Source organism: Homo sapiens, chromosome 17, assembly GCF_000001405.40.
Source record: "Homo sapiens chromosome 17, GRCh38.p14 Primary Assembly".
Taxonomy (NCBI): Eukaryota; Metazoa; Chordata; class Mammalia; order Primates; family Hominidae; genus Homo; species Homo sapiens.
The window spans coordinates 30425552-30450345 of NC_000017.11; the positions used below are offsets into that span (position 1 = coordinate 30425552).

Sequence of the window (24794 nt, forward strand, 5' to 3'; positions counted from 1 at the left end):
AGACTGAGGCACAAGAATTGCTTTAACCTGGGAGGTGGAGGTAGCAGTGAGCCGAGATGGCGCCACTGCACTACAGTCTAGGCCACAGAGTGAGACTCTGTCTCAAAAAAAAAAAAAAAAACAAATAGAGTTCCCCTCTGATCAGTAATTTCCACTCAACATTGTGATAATGTCATTATATGTGGATTATTGACACTTAAACAGTGCTTTAATATAATTTGTCTAATTGGAATATTTTTCCTCCCAGATTATGAGCAGAGGGCAAAAATAAAAAGATAATGGTTTTACCTCTCTGTTCAAAATATCTGGAAGAGATACAGTTTTTAAACACGCAATGTGAAAAAGATGTGTTTTAACTGTAATGCCTGGCCAGGTGCTGTGGCTCACGCCTGTCATCCCAGCACTTTGGGAGGCCAAGGTGGGTGGATCACGAGGTCAGGAGTTCGAGACCAGCCTGGCCAACATGGTGAAACCTCATCTCTACTAAAGATACAAAAAATTAGCTGGGCGTGGTGGCGCACACCTGTAATCCCAGCTACTCGGGAGGCTGAGGCAGGAGAATGGCGTGAACCCAGGAGGCAGAGGTTGCAGTAAGCCAAGATTGTGCCATTGCACTCCAGCCTGGGCGACAAGGCGAGGCTCCGTCTCAAAAAAAAAAAAAAAAAAAAGAGGTAATGCCTGACAGGTTCTTCCTGCCTGCTGCACAGGCAAAACAGTTCATTGAGACCATGGTATCGCAGTAAAGAGTTTAATTAATGCAAGGCCAGCCACGCAGGAGAATTGGAGTTATCACTCAAATCAGTCTCCCTGAAGGCTCAGAGGTTAGGGTTTTTCAAAGATAGTTTGATGGACAAGGGACTAGAGAATGGGTTGATTGGTTGGGGATGAAATCATAGGGATGTGGAAAACAGTCCTTATGTGCTGAGTCAGCTTCTAGTTGGGAACCACAGGACCAGCTGAGTTACAACTCACTCACTGGTCCAGGTGACGTCAGCTGGTTGTCAGAAATGCAAAAGTCAGAATAACATCTCAGAAGGCCAATCTTAGGTTCTACAGTAGTGATGTTATCTACAGGAGTAGTTGAGGAAGTTACAAATCTTAACAACTTCCAAAACAATGACTGGTTATCCTTTAATTACACATACATGTTAGCCAAATTCAGGCCCCTCTTATAATCCCAACCTTGTGACCTTTCATTAGTTTTACAAAGGTGGTTTAGTTTTGGGAAAGGTTGTTATCATCCTTGCTTTAAGATTAAACTGTAAGCTAAATTTCTCCCAAAGTTAGCTTGGCCGATGCCCAGGAATGACCAAGGACAGCTTGGAGGTTAGAAGTAAGGTGGAGTCTGGCTGGGCGTGGTGGCTCACTCCTGTAATCCTAGCACTTTGGGAGGCTGAGGGGGGTGGGTCACCTGATGTCAGGAGTTCAAGACCAGCCTGGCCAACATGGTGAAACCCCATCTCTACTAATAAATACAAAAATTAGCTGGGCATGATGGCAGGTGCCTGTAATTCCAGCTACTTGGGAGGCTGAGATGGGAGAATCGCTTGAACCCGGGAGATGGTGGTTGCAGTGAGCTGAGATTGCGCCACTGCACTCCAGCCTGGGTGACTGAGTGAGACTCCATCTCAAAAAAAAAAAAAAAGGCGGAGTCAACCATGTCAGATTTCTTTTACTGTTATAATTTTGCAAAGACAGTTTCATAATCATAGGTGATTGATAATAGCGAAGCCTGATGTGTTCACATTTGCCTTGAGTTAAGGTATCTAAAGTAGTACGTGTTGGAATAAAATATAAGTGAACATGGCTTATATTCAAATCCTTTATCATATCATACAGGAGATTCAATAAGTGTAATTGGCAGAAACAACAGCAACAACTTTGACCTGAACCGAAATTTCCCAGACCAGTTTGTTCAGATCACAGATCCTACGCAACCAGAAACTATTGCTGTAATGAGCTGGATGAAGTCCTATCCATTTGTACTTTCAGCAAACCTGCATGGAGGTATGGCAACTTTATATTCTACTAATCAGTTCTTGTTGAGAGCATTTGGAAATCCTGGTGGAATTTTATCTGTTTGTAGTGTTATGCTTTCTTAAAATGAGTATCCTGTTACTGCTCTTATGGCAGACAACAGTAAAGGTCTTTTCTCATTACTTTTTCAGCCAGTGTCCTGGCTGTTTCTTTCCTCCTTCTTTCTCTCTTTTTTTCCTCCTCTTCTCTTCTCCTTTTACCCCCATCTCTTCTCTCCACCCCTTTCTCCTCTCTTTTCTCACCTACTACTTCTCTTTCCCTTCTCTTACCTCCTCTCCCCTTTCTTCTCTGTCTTGTCTTTTTTCTCCTCTCCTCTCCTTCTCCCCCGCCTGTCCCCCTACTCTGTTCTTCCTCCTCCTCTCCTCTTCCTCTCATAGTTCTTCAGGTATTTTGTATTTATCTCTCACATTGGGAACTTGGTAACATATTCTTTGTCATTCATAAAAATTGATCCAAATGTTTAGTTCTGTTTTCTCCCTGAAGTTTAATAAACTCTTTTATGTAAATTTAGATTTTGATATTCTCTTTTTTACTTGGTATATCCTTAACTGCAGCAGAGTGACCACATTCTCATGTAGTACCTGAGCTCATATACCTCCATATAATTTAGCAGGATGGATCGGTTGAATAGGATGAGTGTCAAGATTAAAAATCGCCACAATGTCCAACTAAGGTTGCGAATAAGAGTGAAGATATCAGTACCCAAGAGAACCAAACTGTGTCCACACATAAACTCACTTGAACAAAATGTTCACTCATTTAATGTACAGTGCTCATGTATATGAATGTTCAATGTACATGAACGTTCATTCAGGATTATTCACAATAACAAAAAAGTTGAAACAACCCAAACAACCATCATCTGATAAATAGATAAATAAAATGTGGTCTGTCCTTACAATGAATATTATTTGGCTCGAAAAGGAATCAAGTGCTGATACATGCTACAACATAGATCCTTGAAACCTTACACTAAGTGACAAAAGCCAGTCATAATAGACCACATAGTGCATGATTATTATTTTTTTCTTTATCAAGTTGATTATATTTTTATGAAATTTTTAGAATAGGCATATCCATAGAGACAGGAAGTAGATTAAAGATTGTATTGGGCTGGAGTGAATAGTGGTAAGAGGTGATAGGGGAGTGACTGCTAATGGATTTTGGGGTTTCTTTTTGGAGTTATGAAAATGTTCTATAACTGGATAGTGGTAGTGGTTGTACAACCCTGTGAATATAAACAACTTTAAATGGGTGAATTGCATGGTATTTGAATTACATCAGTAAAACTACTAAAAAAAAAAAAGTGACAAGTATTAGCACCAGGGGCAATGGGGAAGAAATTTAGTTTCAACATTTACTGGAATATCCAGAAGTACCATAGTGGAGACTTCATGTCATATAGAGTAGCCTGCCATTTTAGAATGACAGTACATACTGATGGATATTTAGATTTAGGAGGTTAATTGAGATTCTCCAAAAATTGCTTTGAAAGATTGCCAATAGTAGAAAAAAGTACTTCTACAGTTGGTAATCATATATTGTTCTCAAAGAGTCAAATAAGAACTATGAAGTTATACCCTGGTTGGCAAAATAAATTTTTTGTTTTCTTTTATTATATTTTATGTGTTTAATGCTATGTTTGATAAAATTCACTTATTTAGAGCTTTAAAAATAGTCTCATAATAAATCACACATCATGTTGGCTAAATCTGGAAAGTTAATAATAGTTACATTCCAGTGAAAATAAGTCACAGATTTACAGATGTGGTGTCCAGACCTTGGCATGGTGAGAGGTAGGAATCTTCAGTCATGCAGACATTTTTCTTTCCATGACATATTTTGTTTTCTCATCTTAAAATCCTTATTTAAATGGAGTTTGAAATCTTGGCAAAGCAGTTTGAAGGAGAATTTCTTTGTTGCTGTACAGGAGTAAAAAATCCTCATAGAGTCCGCAGCTGGAGCTTGTGAATTAAGCTGATAAAAGACAGATTAAAAGAAAAAAGCATACAAATTTTATTTGATGTTTGTATGTGGCACAGGCAACAGGCAGTGGGGGAGTTCATAGGAAAGACGTGAAACCCTCAAAAAAGCAGTGTTAAGGACTTAGTGCTCTTATAACAAAGGGTAATACCTTGTGGAAAAGTGACTACACAAAGGAAGGGGTTTAGACTTCTAGGGGTAAAAAATTGTGGGAAAGTGACTAGGAAATATGCGGGGGAAACTAATGAAAGATGAGGGTTATTTTACTAAGGTTTGTTTGTGTCAACTCATCTTGGTGTTGACTATCCCATCTCTGATGGTACCAGGAAGGTGCCTTTCTCACGGGAAATTTATGCCCTAATTTTAGGCAGAAAGAGGGAGGGTAGATAGCCTTTCCTGCATCTGCTGTTTCTCAGTTGCCTTCAGCTCTAAATAATTAACATGCTAAAGAGTTATATTCTGGGGCAGAATGTTCTGATTCCTTTCCCTGCCATCTTTATAATTTAGAAGGATCTTGAAAGAAGATAGGGGAAAGCAATATTCTTTTTCATAAAATTTCAAAAATTTTGATACTAATTTTTTTATTGAGGTGAAGTTTACATAATTCCAGTGGCGTTTAGTGCATTCATAGTGTTTTGCAACCACCCCCTCTATCTTGTTCCAAAACATTTTTATCTCCGCAAAAGGATACCCCACACCCATTTAACAGTGACTCCCCTTTCCCTTCTCCCCTCAACCTCTGGTAACCACCAATCTTTGTTCTGTCTCTAGGGATTTACCTATTCTGGATATTTCATAGAAATGGAATCCTATAACATGTGACCTTTCGTGTCTGGCTTCTTTCATTTAGCATAGTGTTTTCAAGGTTCACTCATGTTGTGGCATATATCAGTACTTCATTCCTTTCTATGGTTGAATAATAGTACATTGTATATACATATGTATATATCAATATCACATTTGCTTTATCCATTTACGTACTGATGGACATTTGGGTTGTTTTGACTTTTTGACTACAATGAAAAATGCTTCTATGCCCATTGGCATTCAAATATCTATTTGAGTTCCTGTTTTCTTTTCCCCGTGCCCCCCTTGTTTTGAAACAGAGTCTCACTCTGTTACCCAGGCTGGAGTGTAAGTGGTGTGATCATGGCTCACTGCAGCCTCAAACTCCTGAGCTCAGGCAGTCCTCCCACCTCAGCCTCCCAAGTAGCTGGAACTGCAGGCATGCACCACCACACCTGGCTTATTTTTAATTTTTTGTAGAGACAGGGTCTCCCAGTGTTGCCCAGGCTGATCTTGAACTCTTGGGCTCAAGCAATCCACCTGCCTGCCTTGGCCTCCCAAAGTGCTGAGATTATAGGTGTGAACTACTGTACGCAGCCCCTGTATTCAGTTCTTTTGGGTGTACACTTAGGAGTGAAATTGTCATATGATAATTCCATGTTAAGCTTTTTGAGGAATTGCCAAACTGTTTTCCACAGAGGCTGGACTATTTTACATTCCCGCCAGCAATGTATGAGGTTCCAGTTTCTTCATATCCTCACCACCACTTATTATTTTCTATTTTTATTATTATAGCTGTCCTAGTGGGTGAGAAGTAGGACCTCATTTTGGTTTTGGTGTGCATTTCCACAATAACTAATGATGCCGAGGATCTTTTCATGAGCTTGTTGGCCATTTATCTATCTTCTTTGGAGAAATATCTGTTCAAGTCCTTTGTCCAATTTTTAATTGAGTTTTTGTCTTTGTTGTTAAGTTGTAAGAGTTTTTAAATACTGGACACTGGACCCTTATCAGGCTTGCAAAACATTTTCCCCCATTCTATAGGTTGTCTTTTCTCTTTCTTATGTTCTTGATGCATAAAAGTTTTTGATTTTGATGGAATCCCGTATATCTGTTTTTTTCTTTTGTTGCTAGTCCTTTCCGTATTGATGCTAATTATTTTTTTGAGGTAGACTGTTTGGTAGAAGTACTATAAATCTTTTTTTGTGGCTTTAGAAAATTAGCCATTTGAAAGATATCTTCTCACTTATTCACTTTGAATTGAAGAAATTAGTGTAATTTTCATTTCTGTTGAGGAAATTCTGCTTGGCAAATTTTATTGTTTTCTCTTCTCTGGCAGTATTCTGAAAAGCTTTATGTTAATAATCCATCTTGAAACAGACAACATGATACATTTTCCTCTTTTCCCTTATAGGTTCTTTGGTGGTTAACTACCCTTTTGATGATGATGAACAAGGACTTGCCACATATAGTAAATCACCAGATGATGCTGTGTTCCAACAAATAGCACTTTCTTATTCCAAGGTAGGCTTGTCTTTGAATATAAAATGTTACAAAATTAATTCTTTTATTTAAAAATATGCTTTAAAGTCCTGCAAGACTCAGGTCAAGTGCTTCCATAGTTAATAAAGCATGACTTTTTCAGCTGTTTCCGAAAAATAGCTTTTTCTCCTGTTTCCCACCTCACTTTTGAATACACTACATGTCTTTCTCCATTGGCCTTTTATCTATGGTTTTAGCACAGTACCTGGAACATATACATGTCAATTTATTTCATTTGACAAATAAGTTATAAGCCCAGTAAAGTAGGCCAAGATAAGGGCTTAATGAATTATAGCTCTGGAGCCAAATCTTGCCCACCACCTGTTTTTGTAAATAAAATTGTATTGACACACAGCCACAGCTATATTTTTATATATTGTGTGTGGCTGCTTTCTCCTTCAACATTTCAAAGTAAGTCAGTATAATTTACTATATTAACAAACTAAAGAAGGAAAATCCAGTGATCAAAGGGCAAAGTTGGGTAGTTTCAACAAAGACTTTTGCATCTAAAAAGTCTGAAATATTTGCTTTCTGGTTTTTTACAGGAAAAAATTGCCAAACTTTAGTCTAAGGTATTTAAGATCCTGTAGTTACATATAGCAAGGAAAAGCAGGCAGAAATTTCTGTATTTTCCAAACTTCCTATGATAAACATGGATTACTCTTACAATCGGGAATGTTAAAATGTGTGTGTGTGTGAAAATTTAATTTAAAAATCGTTCTTAGGACCAGGCTTGGTGGCTCATGCCTGAAATCGTAGCACTTTGGTAGGGCAAGGCAGGAGAATTGCTTGAGCTCTCAGGAGTTTGAGACCAGACTGGGCAACATAGCAAGAGCTTGCCTCTACTAAAAATAAAAAATAAAAAAAAAATTAGCCGGTTGTGGTGACATGCATTTGTTGTTCCAGCTACTTAGGAGGCTGAGGTGGGAGGATTGCTCTATCCCAGGAGATTGAGGTTGAAGTGAGCTTGATCACAATACTATACTCTAGCCTGGGTGACAAAGCTGAGACCCTGTCTCAAAAAAATAAAAATTGTCTTAGAAAACATGTTAAAAGTTGAGGCTTGTAAACTAAGCTTGTTAGTTTCAATGTTTGGTGTTACTACTGACTTAGTATTGTTATTGGTTATATTGGTACTATTATTGGTTATAGGTAATGAATATTATTACTGTAACTCTGCACTCTCCAGTCACAGTCCTCCATCCTTCCACTTTTCCCATTCCCTCATCCTCTGCAAATGAATCTTGTGAGATTGTTCAGAGTTTCTACTAGAGGAGTACAGCTGTTCATTTCACCTTAGAGAATTATTGCTTTCTGTTTGGACATATATGTTTTTTTGAAGTACATACGTGGAGTAATAAGAGAATGTATAGTGTCCCAACCATCAAAATAAAAATTAAATGGCTGGATTTTGCATATTTTCTCATCACATTCTATGCTCATTCTCATGATTTCTGCTTTTCGCCTTCATTTTGGCTTCTAGTTCCTTATCTTCTCTTTGTTTTCTTAGACCATTAACCCTTTTGATTTGATTTACCTTTCTCTGTAGGGTAGACCCATGGACATACCTTTTCAATGATTCTCCTAAGGGTCTTGTACACCCCTTTGACATAACTGCTTTGCCCTCCAGTCCTCAGTAATTACCATTATCTCTTTTCTCCATACCAATATTACAAGTACAGCCTAGAGTGGTCACACTGTCACGGCAATTTGCTATAGTCCATATGTGTGCTCTCCAACTTCAGCTGAACCCTCAGTCCTACATGGCAACATTTCCTGTTTAGCTACTTGACTCCCTGGCTCAGTTCCCACTATGGTGATTCAGAGCCTTTATCCTCTATCTGAGCCTCCTGTTCCAGCTCTATCCCTCTTATTCATAGTAGATCACTTTGCATTGAACTCAAGTAGAACTTTGAGTAATCTGATGTGAGTTCACTAAGATTCTGTCTTCTCAATTGTTTCTCATGTGTGTCTTAACAATATTCTCCTCCATTTCTTGATCCCACTGCATTCTGCCTCCTCGAATCTTGTGTCTTCATATCTTATTTTATAAATGAGGAAGGTGATAATTAAACTCCCCAGTCTTCACTCACAGCCTTTTTTCTCTTGGTCAATAAGCAGCTCCTCTAAAAATATTGTCTTCTGCTAACCTTAGTAAGCCCCCATGAAGCTACCATTCAAAGTTTCTTTATTTTTACTCTTCAAAACTTCTCAAAAGTAGATAGTCTTGGGAGACATCTGAGCAGCCAAAGACAATGATGGCTATGTGATAACCTATCTCCCAGGGTTTTTCTTTAAACAATATAAAACGACTTAAAAACTACCAAATTTTACACAAAACCACACTGTTGGCATCACAAAAGATCCTGAAACTGCAAAATAACTGTAAATTTTTTAAAAATCAAGAAGTCTCAGCATGATCTATCATGCACCTACCCCACCTTCGCCCCACCACAAGGCTTTGTGGTGAGGTAAAACAGACCAAGAAAACTTACGGAGAAGACAGAAGTGGGTGCCAGTGAAGGGCAGCTGTGAAGGTAATTTGGAATGACCACCATACATCACATATGCACTAAATCCAAAAATACTAAAAGAGTAACTGGGCAGATTAGAGCTCTGGAATACAGGGAAGAGATTTCAAAATGCACACAACTTAAAGGATCTGGTGTGATTTAATGGGATAAGTACAATTTAAAAGGAGAGGATGGTTACAGGGAGATCTTCCAAACTCATAGCTTCTGGAGAAGGAAAAAAAGAGGCAAAGATAGAAATGAAGAAGTGCTCCTTGGCAATTAGATGGTGAATGGGAAAAGGAAAAAGTGGGGAGAAATGTAAGGTTTTACAAGACAGAAAAGAACTTTAAAATCAGAAGATTCTCAGCTCCACCCTTACCACCAAGACAAATAAATAACCACACTGAGGTACCTGGATTTTGCTAGACCGACAGAAAAGTGTACCATTAAGCTAGGAATAATATTAAATGCCCAATATCATAAAAATAAAGAGGAAAATAAAGTCCATGGAAAATGATTGCAGAAAATTAGGAAATGAAACTTCACATATAGACACTAAGGAGACCCTACCATTAGCAAAAAATAATCGAGAAGCAGAAGAAAACTGTTCAGTTGGCATTCTAAACAGATTAAGTATACCCAAATATACGTTGAGAATATGAGAAACTACCTCAACTCAGATAGTCAAAAAATAAAAACAGAGGCCAGGAAACAAAAAACAGGGATAAATAAAATAAAGTTTATAGGACTCAGGAAAAAAATGGAAGAAAAAGACAAAATTATCTCTGAAATGAAGAATAAATGACAAAAGTTAGGGAACTCATACATCCAATTTCAAACTTACTACAAAGCTACAGTAATTAAGACAGTGTGGTACTGGCATAAAGACAGACATATAGATCAATGAAATAGAACTGAGAACCCAGGAATAAATTCTTATGTTGATGGTCAGTTGATTTTTTTTTTTAGAAAAGGATGCCAAGACAATTCAATAGGCAAAGAATAGATTTTTTAAATAAATGGTGCTGGGACAATTGGATATTTATATGCAAAAGAATAAACTAGATACCTTCCTCACACCACACCCCAAAATTAGCTTAAAATAGGTCATAAACCTAAATATAGGAACTAAAACTATAAAACTAAGAAAAAATAGGAATACATTTTTGTGATTTGGTCCTCCTCTAGATATGACATCGGAAGCACAAGTGACAAAAAAAGATTGATACATTGGACATAATCCAGATTTAAAACTTCTTTACTGCAAAAAAAAACTGTATTTGTTTCCTAGTTCTGCTGTAACAAAATTCCACAAACTGGGTGGTCTAAGACAACAGGAATTTATTGTCTCATAGTTTTGGAGGCCAGAAGTCCAAAATCACAGTGTTGGCAGGGCCATTCTCCCTCTGAAACTGTGGAAGAATCCTTCCTTGTTTCTCCCTAGTTTCTGGTGCTTTGCTGGCAACCATTGGCATTCCTTCACTTCTAGGTGCATCACTCCAACCCTTCATCATCACACGGCATTCTCCCTCTGTCTTCGTATCCCAGTTTCCCCTTTGTACAAGGACACCGTCATATTGGATTAGGGCCCATGCTAATCACCTTATTTTAACTTGATTACCTCTGTAAGGAACTTATTTTTAAATAAGATCACATTTTGAGGTACTGAGGGTTAGGACTTCAATATATTTTTGGAGGACACAACTCAATCCATAACATATAACATCCAGGAAGTAAAAAGACAACCCACAGAAGCTGGGCTTGGTGACACGTGCCTGTAGTCCCAGCTACTTGGGAGGCTGAGGCCGAAGGATTGCTTGAGCCCAAGAAGTAGAGGCTATCGTGAGCTATGATCATGCCACTGCACTCCAGCTTTGGTGACAGAAGGAGACCCCAGCCCCCAAAAAATAAATAAATAGATGACCCACAGAATAAGAGAAAATTTTTGTAAATCATATATTTTGATAAAGGTGTTATATCTAAAATATATAAAGAACTCTTATGGCTAAATAATAAAAAGACAAATCATCCAAGTGAAAAATAGGCAAAGGATCTGAATGGACATTTCTCTGAAGAAGAGAAAATGGCCAATAAGCACATGAAAAGATGCTCAATATTATTAGCCATTAGAGAAATGCAAGTCAATACCACAATGAGATACCTCTTGTTACCCACTAGAATGGCTGTAATTTTAAAAAATGGAAAATATGCATAGGCAAAGGTGGAAAAATTGAAACCTTACATACATTGCTGGTGGGGTGTAAAATGGTATAACTGCTTTGAAAAACAGTCTGGCAGTGCTTTAAAACATTAAATATAGAATTGTAATATGACCCAGCATTCCACTGCTAGGTATATACCCAAGAGAAATGGAAACATGTATTCACACAAAAACTTGTACATGAATATTTGTAGCAGCATTATTCATAATAGCCCCAAATGGAAGCAACCAAAATGTCCATCAACTGATGAATGGGTTAACAAACTGATAAGTAGACATACAAAATCATACAGTGGAATATTATTCAGCCATAAAAAGTAATGAAGTAATGATACACAGTACAACTTGAATGAACCTTAAAAACCTACTAAGTGAAAGAAGTCACAAGAGACTACATATTGTATGATTCAGTTTATATGTAATGTTCAGAGTAGGCAAACCCATAGAGACAGAAAGTAGATTGGTGGTTGCCTAGGGTTTGGAGTGGGGGTGGGGAGTAGGGGTTGGGGAAAAATGGAGAATGCTAATAGGTATAGAGTTTCTTTTTGGGGTGATGAAAATGTCCTAAAATTTATTATGGTGGGTGGTTATACAACTCTATGAATACTAAAAACCATTGAATTGTACACTTTAAATGGAGTCAATGTGTGGAATGTGAATTATATCTCAATAAAGTGGATTTTGAAAACCTAAAGAAGACTGAGGGGTGGAGGATCCATTCTGTATTCGTATATAAGTTAAAAAAATGAGATCTAAAAGTTATATACCAAGCCCGGTGTGATGGCTCACACCTGTAATCTCAACACTTTGGGAGGCCGAGGTGGGCAGATTCGTTGAGCCCAGGAGTTCGAGACCAGCCTGGGCAACATAGTCAAACCCCATCCCTACAAAAAATACAAAAATTAGCCAGGTGTGTGGGTGCATGCCTATAGTCCCAGCTCCTCAGGAGGGTGAGGTGGAAGGATCACTTGAGCGTGGGGAGATTGAGGCTGCAGTGAGCCTGTGTTTCCACTACTGCACTCTGAGCTGGGTGACAAACAAGACCCAGTTTCAAAACCAAAACAAAACCAAAACAAAACCAAAGCAAAAGAGCATGCATATAATTATTACAGTAATCTAAAATTATGGTTTTTATTTGATAAGAGAGTGATGGGATGATAAGCCTATAATTGGCATATTAAGTTTCTAGATGGGGATCGTTTATTTTATTTTGTTTTTGTTAGGACAGAGTCTTGCTTTGTCACCCAGGCTGTAGTGCAGTGGTGCAATCATGGTTTACTGCAGCCTCAACCTCCTGGGGTCAAGCTATTTTCCCATCTCAGCCTCCCAAGGAGCTGGTTCTACAGACATGTAGCACCATGTGTGGCTTTTTTTTTTTTTTTTTTTTTTTTGTAGAGATGAGGTCTCACTGTATTGCCCAGGCTGGTCTTGAACTTCTGAGCTCAAGCAGTTCTCCAACCTTGGCCTCCCAAAGTGTTGGGATTACAGGTGTGATCTTACCTGTCCCTGTTTATATATTTTAAATGGTTAATTCTCTGTGGTAGAAAAATGGGAAATTATTCTTTTTCTCTTCACACTTTCAGTACTTTTTTTCTGTTTCAAAAAGAGATAAATGAAGTTTTGACCATCTTTCAAAGCTCAATTTCTTCTAGGAAACTCCCCCTGCCACTCTCATCAGATGTAATCTTTCTCTCCTCTTGCTTTCAATGGCATGCATTTGTGTCTCCATGGCAGTTTTTCTTACCCTTCATTGAGTTATCAGTTGGACACCTACTGTATGCTAGATGCTGAGGACACAGAGACACAAACTGTTTCAAGGAATAGTGTATTGTCTTTAGGGAAGAGAAAGGTGCAACTAGTTGTAATAGGGTAAGATAATTGTACAGAGGGCAGTCAGAGCACAGAGGGGCCATCTTATTCCTGCTAGCAGTCAGGGAAAGCTGCTTGCTTTTATTGTGTGTGTATTATCTTTTTTGGACTTCAAGCTCCTTGAAAGCATGAAACGAAAGTATAAATATGAGCAGAAATTTTTTTTAGAGAGGGGTTCAGCTAGGTTTTATATTACTTGTAATTGCGAGTAATAAATGAAGTCAATATTTTCTTACGGAGCACATTGTATTTTGATTTTTAAAAATAGATAAGTTCAGATAGTGAAAAATCAAAATGGCATAAAAAGCTATACACTGAAAAGTCTCACTGCTCATAGCCCCACCCCACTCCCACCTCCACCCCTCACATACCCTGTTGGAAGCCACTTTTATTATTTTCCTGTATCTTTCCAGTATTTTTTTTTGATGGAGATACAAACAAATAGAAGTAAAGATTCTTTTTGTTTTTCCAGGAAAATTCCCAGATGTTTCAAGGTAGACCTTGCAAGAATATGTATCCTAATGAATATTTTCCTCATGGAATAACAAATGGAGCTAGTTGGTATAATGTGCCAGGTAAAGATTCTTTTATATCAAGGCCTTACAACTTGATGGCCTTTCTGCTTTCCTAGATGGTGCTTCTTGTTATTATCTTTTAGTTTTGAGGAATAATAATTATTTTTAAAACATGGTTTAAATAGTTTAAAATATTTAAATAATCTTTTCAACTACTTTTATGTTTGATGTACGTTGAGGGTTGAGTAAGAATAATGCACTAAAACTTGATTAAATGGTTACATTTTACTTCTGGCTATTAGAAAGAATCTTACATGTGCTAATAGAAGAGTGTAAGCTATATTTGAATTCTTTTTTTTCTTTACAACGTTACTTTCTTTTTTTTTTTTTCTTTTCTTTTTTTATTATACTTTAGGTTTTAGGGTACATGTGCACATTGTGCAGGTTAGTTACATATGTATACATGTGCCATGCTGGTGCGCTGCACCCACTAACTCGTCATCTAGCATTAGGTATATCTCCCAATGCTATCCCTCCCCCCTCCCCCCACCCCACCACAGTCCCCAGAGTGTGATATTCCCTTTCCTGTGTCCATGTGATCTCATTGTTCAATTCCCACCTATGAGTGAGAATATGCGGTGTTTGGTTTTTTGTTCTTGCGATAGTTTACTGAGAATGATGATTTCCAATTTCATCCATGTCCCTGCAAAGGACATGAACTCATCATTTTTTATGGCTGCATAGTATTCCATGGTGTATATGTGCCACATTTTCTTAATCCAGTCTATCATTGTTGGACATTTGGGTTGGTTCCAAGTCTTTGCTATTGTGAATAATGCCGCAATAAACATACGTGTGCATGTGTCTTTATAGCAGCATGATTTATAGTCATTTGGGTATATACCCAGTAATGGGATGGCTGGGTCAAATGGTATTTCTAGTTCTAGATCCCTGAGGAATCGCCACACTGACTTCCACAATGGTTGAACTAGTTTACAGTCCCACCAACAATGTAAAAGTGTTCCTATTTCTCCACATCCTCTCCTGCACCTGTTGTTTCCTGACTTTTTAATGATTGCCATTCTAACTGGTGTGAGATGGTATCTCATTGTGGTTTTGATTTGCATTTCTCTGATGGCCAGTGATGATGAGCATTTTTTCATGTGTTTTTTGGCTGCATAAATGTCTTCTTTTGAGAAGTGTCTGTTCATGTCCTTCGCCCACTTTTTGATGGGGTTGTTTGTTTTTTTCTTGTAAATTTGTTGGAGTTCATTGTAGATTCTGGATATTAGCCCTTTGTCAGATGAGTAGGTTGCGAAAATTTTCTCCCATTTTGTAGGTTGCCTGTTCACTCTGATGGTAGTTTCTTTTGCTGTGCAGAAGCTCTTTAGTTTAATTAGATCCCATTTGTCAATTTTGTCTTTTGTTGCCATTGCTTTTGGTGTTTTGGACATGAAGTCCTTGCCCATGCCTATGTCCTGAATGGTCATGCCTAGGTTTTCTTCTAGGGTTTTTATGGTTTTAGGTCTAACGTTTAAATCTTTAATCCATCTTGAATTGATTTTTGTATAAGGTATAAGGAAGGGATCCAGTTTCAGCTTTCTACATATGGCTAGCCAGTTTTCCCAGCACCATTTATTAAATAGGGAATCCTTTCCCCATTTCTTGTTTTTCTCAGGTTTGTCAAAGATCAGACAGTTGTAGGTATGTGGTGTTATTTCTGAGGGCTCTGTTCTGTTCCATTGATCTATATCTCTGTTTTGGTACCAGTACCATGCTGTTTTGGTTACTGTAGCCTTGTAGTAAAGTTTGAAGTCAGGTAGTGTGATGCCTCCAGCTTTGTTCTTTTGGCTTAGGATTGACTTGGCGATGCGGGCTCTTTTTTGGTTCCATATGAACTTTAAAGTAGTTTTTTCCAATTCTGTGAAGAAAGTCATTGGTAGCTTGATGGGGATGGCATTGAATCTGTAAATTACCTTGGGCAGTATGGCCATTTTCACAATATTGATTCTTCCTACCCATGAGCATGGAATGTTCTTCCATTTGTTTGTATCCTCTTTTATTTCCTTGAGCAGTGGTTTGTAGTTCTCCTTGAAGAGGTCCTTCACATCCCTTGTAAGTTGGATTCCTAGGTATTTTATTCTCTTTGAAGCAATTGTGAATGGGAGTTCACTCATGATTTGGCTCTCTGTTTGTCTGTTGTTGGTGTATAAGAATGCTTGTGATTTTTGTACATTGATTTTGTATCCTGAGACTTTGCTGAAGTTGCTTATCAGCTTAAGGAGATTTTGGGCTGAGACAATGGGGTTTTCTAGATATACAATCATGTCATCTGCAAACAGGGACAATTTGACTTCCTCTTTTCCTAATTGAATACCCTTTATTTCCTTCTCCTGCCTAATTGCCCTGGCCAGAACTTCCAACACTATGTTGAATAGGAGTGGTGAGAGAGGGCATCCCTGTCTTGTGCCAGTTTTCAAAGGGAATGCTTCCAGTTTTTGCCCATTCAGTATGATATTGGCTGTGGGTTTGTCATAGATAGCTCTTATTATTTTGAAATACGTCCCATCAATACCTAATTTATTGAGAGTTTTTAGCATGAAGAGTTGTTGAATTTTGTCAAAGGCTTTTTCTGCATCTATTGAGATAATCATGTGGTTTTTGTCTTTGGTTCTGTTTATATGCTGGATTACATTTATTGATTTGCGTATATTGAACCAGCCTTGCATCCCAGGGATGAAGCCCACTTGATCATGGTGGATAAGCTTTTTGATGTGCTGCTGGATTCAGTTTGCCAGTATTTTATTGAGGATTTTTGCATCAATGTTCATCAAGGATATTGGTCTAAAATTCTCTTTTTTTGTTGTGTCTCTGCCCGGCTTTGGTATCAGAATGATGCTGGCCTCATAAAATGAGTTAGGGAGGATTCCCTCTTTTTCTATTGATTGGAATAGTTTCAGAAGGAATGGTACCAGTTCCTCCTTGTACCTCTGGTAGAATTCGGCTGTAAATCCATCTGGTCCTGGACTCTTTTTGGTTGGTAAGCTATTGATTATTGCCACAATTTCAGCTCCTGTTATTGGTCTATTAAGAGATTCAACTTCTTCCACATGAAGGTATAGGTGTTTTGCTTGTATCGCAAGCATCAAAGTGCCCTCACATGAACACGTTAGCTTATCAATGCTGATAAGAGATAAATTTGGCTTTTTACTAGGAATGTTGCTTACCTTTTGGGATCTGAGCTGTTTAGAACTTCTTCAGAGTGACTAATTTTAATTTTTATCTTTTAGGAGGAATGCAGGACTGGAACTATTTACAAACAAATTGCTTTGAAGTGACTATTGAACTAGGTTGTGTGAAATATCCACTTGAGAAAGAGCTGCCAAACTTTTGGGAACAGAATCGAAGATCACTAATCCAGTTTATGAAACAGGTGACTATTCAGGAGTGAAGTATGAAATTTCTCCCGAGGGTGAAAAGATTTTTGTGCGTACACGTGGTTTTTGTGCAGTGATTTTGGAATACACTCTTTAAAATTTCAATTCATTTTAGTATATTTAACCAGTTTGTATATTCCAAGGTGTTTAATATATTTATCTAGAAAATTCGTGAATGGAAATGAGTTTATTTGTATATGTGAGGAAAAGTTGAAGAAAATGATTGAACAAGGTAGTGATATTTTGCTCTTAAGGGTTAGTGGTCACTTTTTACCCGTGTTTAAAAAAGACCAGCATAAATTGGATACACACCTAATCATTGGCCAAGTGATAGAAAGATGGGCTGTGGAGTGAATGTTTTTATTCTTTTTCTTGTTGCCAGTGATTTACTGTGAAATGATTAATTTCCTTTTGTTTGGATATGTGTGGTGGCCAGTAGGTAAAGATTATAAGAAATATACTAATGTTAATTAGGATAATCAGACTAATACTTTCTGCCAGTACATTTCTGCATTTTTCTTTTTCCTGAGTGGTGTGACATAAAGTCTGTGAGTTTTTTTTACTATATTTAAAGACATTTTATTCTGAAAAATTTTAAATATACAGAAAAGTTATGACTAGCCAATAATTATTCCTATACCTAGATTTAACATTTTTAACATTTTGTTATATTTGCTTTATTTTAATGTAAATTTTATTTACACACTCACATACACATACATATTTTTGACTGAACTATTGTAATATAAATTGCAGGTATGGTATTTTACCCCTAAATATTTCAGCATCTATCTCCTAAAAATAAGGAGCTACTACATACTATCTCTAAGTGCTACTGTCCTACCCAAGAAAATTAACAGTAATTCCCTAATATTACCTAATACTTAGTTTATATTTAAATGTCCATATTTGTCCCCAAAATGTAATTTTACAGCTGTATTTTATGACCAGGATCTAGTCAAGTTTCATGCATTGCATTGGATTATTATATCTCTTTACTATTCTTTGAACTATAAGAGTCCTTCTGTTTTTAAAAAATGCCATTTCCTTTTGAAAAGGCCAGGTCTGTTTTCTTGTAGAATGTCATATATTCTGAAATCATCAGAATGTGCTAAAGTTTAAACAGTGTTATTTATATTCTTCATGATAAAGAGAAACAAAGCCTATGAAAAATTAGCCTTCAGAAATATTTTAATGAACATTTACATTGAACTTTACTCTGAACTCCTAAATTCCTGTTTGTTCCATTTATTTGTGTTGACAATCTGTTATTTTGAATATGACCTCCCAAGATAATTAGATGATGATGTTTATTATTGAAATCTGGTGTCCTTGTACTTAATCCAGGTTCATCAGGGCGTCAGAGGATTTGTTCTAGATGCCACAGATGGCAGGGGTATATTAAATGCCACCATTAGTGTTGCTGAGATTAATCACCCAGTGACTACTTACAAAACTGGAGATTACTGGCGTCTCTTGGTTCCAGGAACTTATAAAATCACAGCATCTGCTCGAGGGTGAGTGACTGAATGCTTTGAAATAGAGTGCTCGGAGGACAAACATGGCTCCATTCTGGAGGATTATTACTAGAACGTTCTAGAGAGCCTGTTAAGCAACTTTGAATGGATTGCTGCGAAGTTTAGGGCTGGTTATACCTTTGACTCTCCTTTAGTGGCAGATAGAGTACACGAAAAAAAAAAAAAGGAAAGATTCCTGGGGTAAATATTCTAGTTATTGCTTAGTTGACTCATTGTGACATGCTTCCAACCTGGACATTAAACAAGACATTTTAGAATACACATCAAATCCTGATCCTCATGGCCTTAGGTTTTTTATTTAAAAGGAGAGTTAGGCTGAAGTAATTCTACAGTCAGTTCCAATTCATAGTAGAATTTATTGGAAATGTGTTCAAGATAGTTTTTCCTTTAAAGGAGTAACAGAAGTGTTAGTTGATGAAGCACAAAGAACATAGAAAATGCATAGAAAGAACATTTCTCGTTCTTTTAATTTGCTAAATACAGGTAAGCCCAAAGCAATGCAGTCTATTTAACATGCTAGTAACTTTTTTTTTTTTTTTTTTTTTTTTTTGAGACAGAGCTTCTCTCTATCGCCCAGGCTGGAGTGCATGGCACTATCTCAGCTGCCTGCAACTTCTGCCTCCTGGGTTCAAGGGATGCTTGTGCCTCAGCCTCCCAAGTAGTTGATATTACTGGTGTGTGCCACCACACCCGACTAATTTTTGTATTTTTAGTAGAGACAGGGTTTCTCTTGTAGTTTTCTTTTTTATCTTTTGATAAGTATAGATGTTACCACAGGATATTTTCCCTTCCTCCTGCTAGCTAACTTATTTCTGAAGAGTTAGTTTGAATACCCATTGAAGTAAGGGTAAAATATGAAAGCATTTTAGTCGTTGCCTTTGTTTTTTAATGGTTTTCAGATATCTAGTGGTCCGTAAATGAATGGGTTAGAACCTCACACTAATGAGTAATGAGGTCTTTTCTGTGATTCTTCCATTTTTGGCAGAGTGTTAACTAAAGCAGCAGGGGATCCGAGAAACAGGGTGAGAAGGATGTGTTTGGCAGAGAATGTCATAACCTAGCACCTCTGCAACTTTCCCACCCGTATACCCTGATAGAAGACAAGTGAATTTAAGTTCCAGGAGACATGGGAGTATCCACTACAAGCACTAAATTTCTTTTGAAGCCATATATTTAATCTTAAAAACCTAGGCCAGGTGCGGTGGCTCAGGTCTGTAATCCCAGCACTTTGGGAGGCAGAGGCAGGTGGATCACTTGAGGTCAGAAGTTTGAGACCAGCCTGGCCAACATGGTGAAATCCTGTCTCTACTAAAAATACAAAAATTATCCAGGCATGGTGGTGGGCACCTGCAATCCCAGCTACTCAGGAGGCTGAGGCAGGAGAATCACTTGAACCCAGGAGGCGGAGGTTGCAGTGAACTGAGATGGTGCCACTGCACTCCAGCCTGGGTGACAGAGCAAGACTCCATCTTAAAAAAAATCATGAAAAAAAATCCATTCATATTTTGTAATATACCCATGTCTATTCTTTATTAATGTATTAAAAATAATAAATTACTCAACGTTAAAATTTTGTCTCTTTAGGAAACTGCACCACATTTATCCCAAGGATTCTTACGTTCTCTGCACACCTGCCTTCCCAGGGTTTGGGTACTCCAGCTGCAGGAGTGTGGTTCTGATCTGTCTCCTTTATCATAGGTATAATCCAGTTACCAAGAATGTGACTGTCAAGAGTGAAGGCGCTATTCAGGTCAACTTCACACTTGTTCGATCCTCAACAGATTCAAACAATGAATCAAAGAAAGGAAAAGGGGCTAGCAGCAGCACCAATGATGCCAGTGATCCAACTACTAAAGAGTTTGAAACTTTAATTAAAGACCTTTCAGCGGAGAATGGTTTGGAAAGCCTCATGTTACGCTCCTCCTCAAATCTGGCTCTGGCTCTTTATCGATACCATTCCTACAAAGACTTATCAGAGTTTCTGAGAGGACTTGTAATGAACTATCCACATATTACAAATCTTACCAAGTAAGTGTCACTTTCTATTGTCTTTTTTTTTTTTTCAAGACAGTAAAATCAGCATTAGCCATGTTGAATAGTTGTAATTTATATAGAAATATTTGGGAACAGAATGTACAGAGAGTTGGAGTTTACTTATTTTGCAACATGTATTTGCTTGGAGATCTTTTTTTTTTAATTATGCTTTAAGTTTTAGGGTACATGTGCACAACGTGCAGGTTTGTTACATATGTATACATGTGCCATGTTGGTGTGCTGCACCCATTAACTCGTCATTTACATTAGGTATATCTCCTAATGCTATCCCTCCCCCCTACCCCTACCCCACAACAGACCCCAGGGTGTGATGTTCCCCTTCCTGTGTCCAAGTGTTCTCATTGTTCAGTTCCCACCTATGAGTGAGAACATGCAGTGTTTGGTTTTTTGTCCTTGCGATAGTTTGCTGAGAATGATGGTTTCCAGCTTCATCCATGTCCCTACAAAGGACATGAACTCATAATTTTTTATGGTTGCATAGTATTCCATGGTGTATATGTGCCACATTTTCTTAATCCAGTCTATCATTGATGGACATTTGGGTTGGTTCCAAGTCTTTGCTATTGTGAATAGTGCCACAATAAACATACGTGTGCATGTGTCTTTATAGCACCATGATTTATAGTCCTTTGGGTATATACCCAGTAATGGGATGGCTGGGTCAAATGGTATTTCCAGTTCTAGATCCCTGAGGAATTGCAACACTGACTTCCACAATGGTTGAACTAGTTTACAGTCCCACCAACAATGTAAAAGTGTTCCTATTTCTCCACATCCTCTCCAGCACCTGTTGTTTCCTGACTTTTTAATGATTGCTATTCTAACTGATGTGAGATGGTATCTCACTGTGGTTTTGATTTGCATTCTCTGATGGCCAGTGATGATGAGCATTTTTTTGTGTGTCTTTTGGCTGCATAAATGTCTTCTTTTGAGAAGTGTCTGTTCATATCCTTCACCCACTTTTTGATGGGGTTGTTTGTATTTTTCTTGTAAATTTGTTTAAGTTCTTTGTAGATTCTGGATATTAGCCCTTTGTCAGATGAGTAGATTGCAAAAATTTTCTTCCATTCTGTAGGTTGCCTGTTCACTCTGATGGTAGTTTCTTTTGCTGTGCAGAAGCTCTTTAGTTTAATGAGATCCCATTTGTCAATTTTGGCTTTTGTTGCCATTGCTATTGGTGTTTTAGACATAAAGTTCTTGCCCATGCCTATGTCCTGAATGGTATTGCCTAGGTTTTCTTCTAGGGTTTTTATGGTTTTAGGTCTAACATGTAAGTCTTTAATCCATCGTGAATTAATTTTTGTATAAGGTGTAAGGAAGGGGTGCTTGGAGATCTTTTTAATAGTGAATCTTGGGAACTTTAAGGAGAATTACTTGTTAGATTAGAAGTAGATAGCCTGTGATTCCAGGAAATGTAAAATTGCTCTTCCTGATAATTATTTTGACTGATTGTAAAACCCTTTCCATCACTCAGCTACAGATCTATTAATATGTTCTGACTAAATATTGTTTAGTTTGTTTTATTTTGCTTGGGGCAAGGGAGGAATTTAGAACTGTAAGCTCACCTGTTAGGGATTATGTGTAACTTTTTTTTTTTAATTAGAAAATGAAGCCTAGTTGCTGTCCTAATTCTAGTCTCTATTCACAGTCTCTTACTTGAAGCTTTAGGGACATGTGTGATCGTGGGTCCCAGGGAAAACATACAGTCCTGGCTTATGTAAAACTGATAGCTGAGATAGCCTTTACCTTCACTTTGTGGTGGTTGCTCTGCCTCACTTGCACTGCTTCATTTTAGATTTTGTTACAGTTACTCCAAAATTATTTCTATGATTTGTTGATTCCTATGGTTTGCCTGTTGTAGTTAAGGTCTTTACATTTTGCCTTGAGCATATAGTTCTCTGCTGCAAACCTCATGAACATTATTTAGCCTTTTACCTTTTTACTTTGTCTTTCTTCATGGGTCCTTTTAATTTCATCAGAAAACTTAGTTCCTCAAATTCTGATTTATAATATTCATAGATGCAGAGTGATACTTAACTTTCTTTGGCAATACCAATTACTTTTCTTCCTTAACTGATTCTTGGATATTTCTGGCTATTTCAGGTTTTAATATCATACAATCTTAGTGCCATAGAGTTCATATACTTTTTTATTTTAAAATAAAACCAGGCTGGGCACAGTGGCTCACACCTGTAATCCCAGCACTTTGGGAGGCCCAGGTGGGAGGATCGCTTGAGGCCAGGAGCTCCAGTTTACGTTGAACTATGATCACACCACTGTACTCCAGCCTAGGTGACAGTAAGATCCTGTCTCTAAAACAAACAAAAATTGGGCATTATTTTGCTGTCTGTTTACTTAGTTGATTTAATTTTTTTAACCTCCTAATTCAAGACACACTTTTTAGTTAAATATTTTCTCAAAATATGCCACACATGCCAGTGGTGGGGCACAAGAGAGTTTTAGGTGGTACACCAACAGGCACTAAGTACCATTGAATAGCGTCATGAGAAAGCAATAAGGTTTCTGTTAATTTTTCTCAATTTAATATGATTATTTTTTTCTGTCCAATTCTTGTAAATCTCCCTTTATGCTAAAGAAAGCAGACCTTAAGCTCAAAGCTCTTGGGCAAGCAGAGTATTTGACCATTGTTTAATTTTCATTGAATTAGTATTTTTTTCCCCACTCAAATTACTTTTACTGTGAAACTGGTGTTGCATTTATAGTAAAATATAACGTGACTTATTTACAAATATTAATTTTGATTAAAAAGGGAGGGCCAGGGTGGTGGCGCATGCTGTAATCCCAGCACTTTGGGAGGCTGAGGTGGGAGGATTGCTTGAGGCCAGAAGCGCTTGAAACCAGCCTCAGCAATATAGCAAGACCCTGTCTCTACAAAATTTTTTTTAAAAAATTAGCTAGGCATGGTGGTGCAAACCTGTAGTACTACTCCCTTAGGAGACTGAGGCCAGAGGATCACTTGAGTCCTGGAATTCAAGGCTGCAGTGAGCTATGATCAAGCCATTGCATTCCAGCTTGGGTGACATAGTGAGACCCTGTCTCTTAAAAATATAATGACAATAATATAAATAAATAAATAAATAAATAAGGGAGGTTATCTATGTTCATACATACTTAAATATTTCTGTAATAAAAATTTAATTTGTGAGTTAGTACAAAATATATTAACTAAATAGTAGTGTAGATTAAAGAAGATAGGGCAAATATTGTGATGATTGTATGAGAATTACTGAATTTGGAAGGATGGTAAACTAAATCATAATCTTTCCTAAATCTTTCCTAAATCTGATAATATCATCTATTTGATAAATGTTCTTTGGTCAAGGAAAACTAATTTTCTTAAGGTTTTCTGATGCAGTGATTCACTCTTTAAAGACTTTTTAAAACTTTTTGTGTTTTGTTTTCATTTCTATTTTTAAAGTCCATAAGTCAACATTAACATAGTGCTTGATTACTTGCTGATTTTTTTGTTTCTGGTTTTTGAAAGTTTGGGACAGAGCACTGAATATCGTCACATTTGGTCCCTTGAAATCTCCAATAAGCCCAATGTATCTGAGCCTGAAGAACCAAAGATTCGTTTTGTTGCTGGTATCCATGGAAATGCGCCAGTTGGAACTGAACTGCTTTTGGCTCTGGCAGAATTTCTCTGCCTGAACTACAAAAAGAACCCAGCTGTTACCCAAGTAAGAGAATAGCCGAGGTTGACATGCTTTAAAAGGAAAAAGCTCAACATTAATATCAGGGCACCATTTTTAAAATTTTTAATTTCTTGCTAGATTTTACAGAGTCACTTGTAGTACATTATGAACTTTACTCTTTAAAAATGAACCATCTTTGTAGTATATACCCTTTGTTAATAGTGTCTTTCTATTATATTTCCTTGTATGTCTTAAGAGGCATGCAGGAAAGAATACTAAAAATTTACATTCAATTTCCTACTCCGTCATTTAATAGCCACACTACCCTTCCAGTCTTTATTCATAGTTCTTTACTTTTTTTTTTTTTTTTTGAGACAGAGTCCTGCTCTATCACCCAGGCTTGAGTGCAATGGCATGATCTCGGCTCACTGCAACCTCCACCTCCTGGATTCAAGCAATTATCCCGCCTCAGCTTCCTGAGTAGCTGGGACTACAGATGCCCACCACCATGCCCGGCTAATTTTTTTATATTTTTGGTAGAGACGGGGTTTTGCCATGTTGGCCACGCTGGTCTCGAACTCCTGACCTCAGGTAATCCACCTCCTTTGGCCTCCCAAAAATGCTGTGATTACAGGCGTGAGC

At 37.5% G+C, this 24794-nt stretch overlaps 1 protein-coding gene across 2 annotated transcripts in view; it reads left to right on the top strand.

Moving 5' to 3' along the window:
* Positions 1-24794, top strand: part of CPD (carboxypeptidase D) — a 91063-nt gene that overhangs the window by 46625 nt on the left and 19644 nt on the right. For both annotated transcript variants that reach the window (NM_001304.5, NM_001199775.1), the window contains exons 7-13: positions 1840-2007; positions 6221-6330; positions 13424-13526; positions 16757-16899; positions 18251-18420; positions 20140-20469; positions 24002-24197. In NM_001304.5, coding sequence (NP_001295.2) covers positions 1840-2007; positions 6221-6330; positions 13424-13526; positions 16757-16899; positions 18251-18420; positions 20140-20469; positions 24002-24197 — 1220 coding nt within the window. The remainder of the gene's footprint in view (positions 1-1839; positions 2008-6220; positions 6331-13423; positions 13527-16756; positions 16900-18250; positions 18421-20139; positions 20470-24001; positions 24198-24794) is intronic.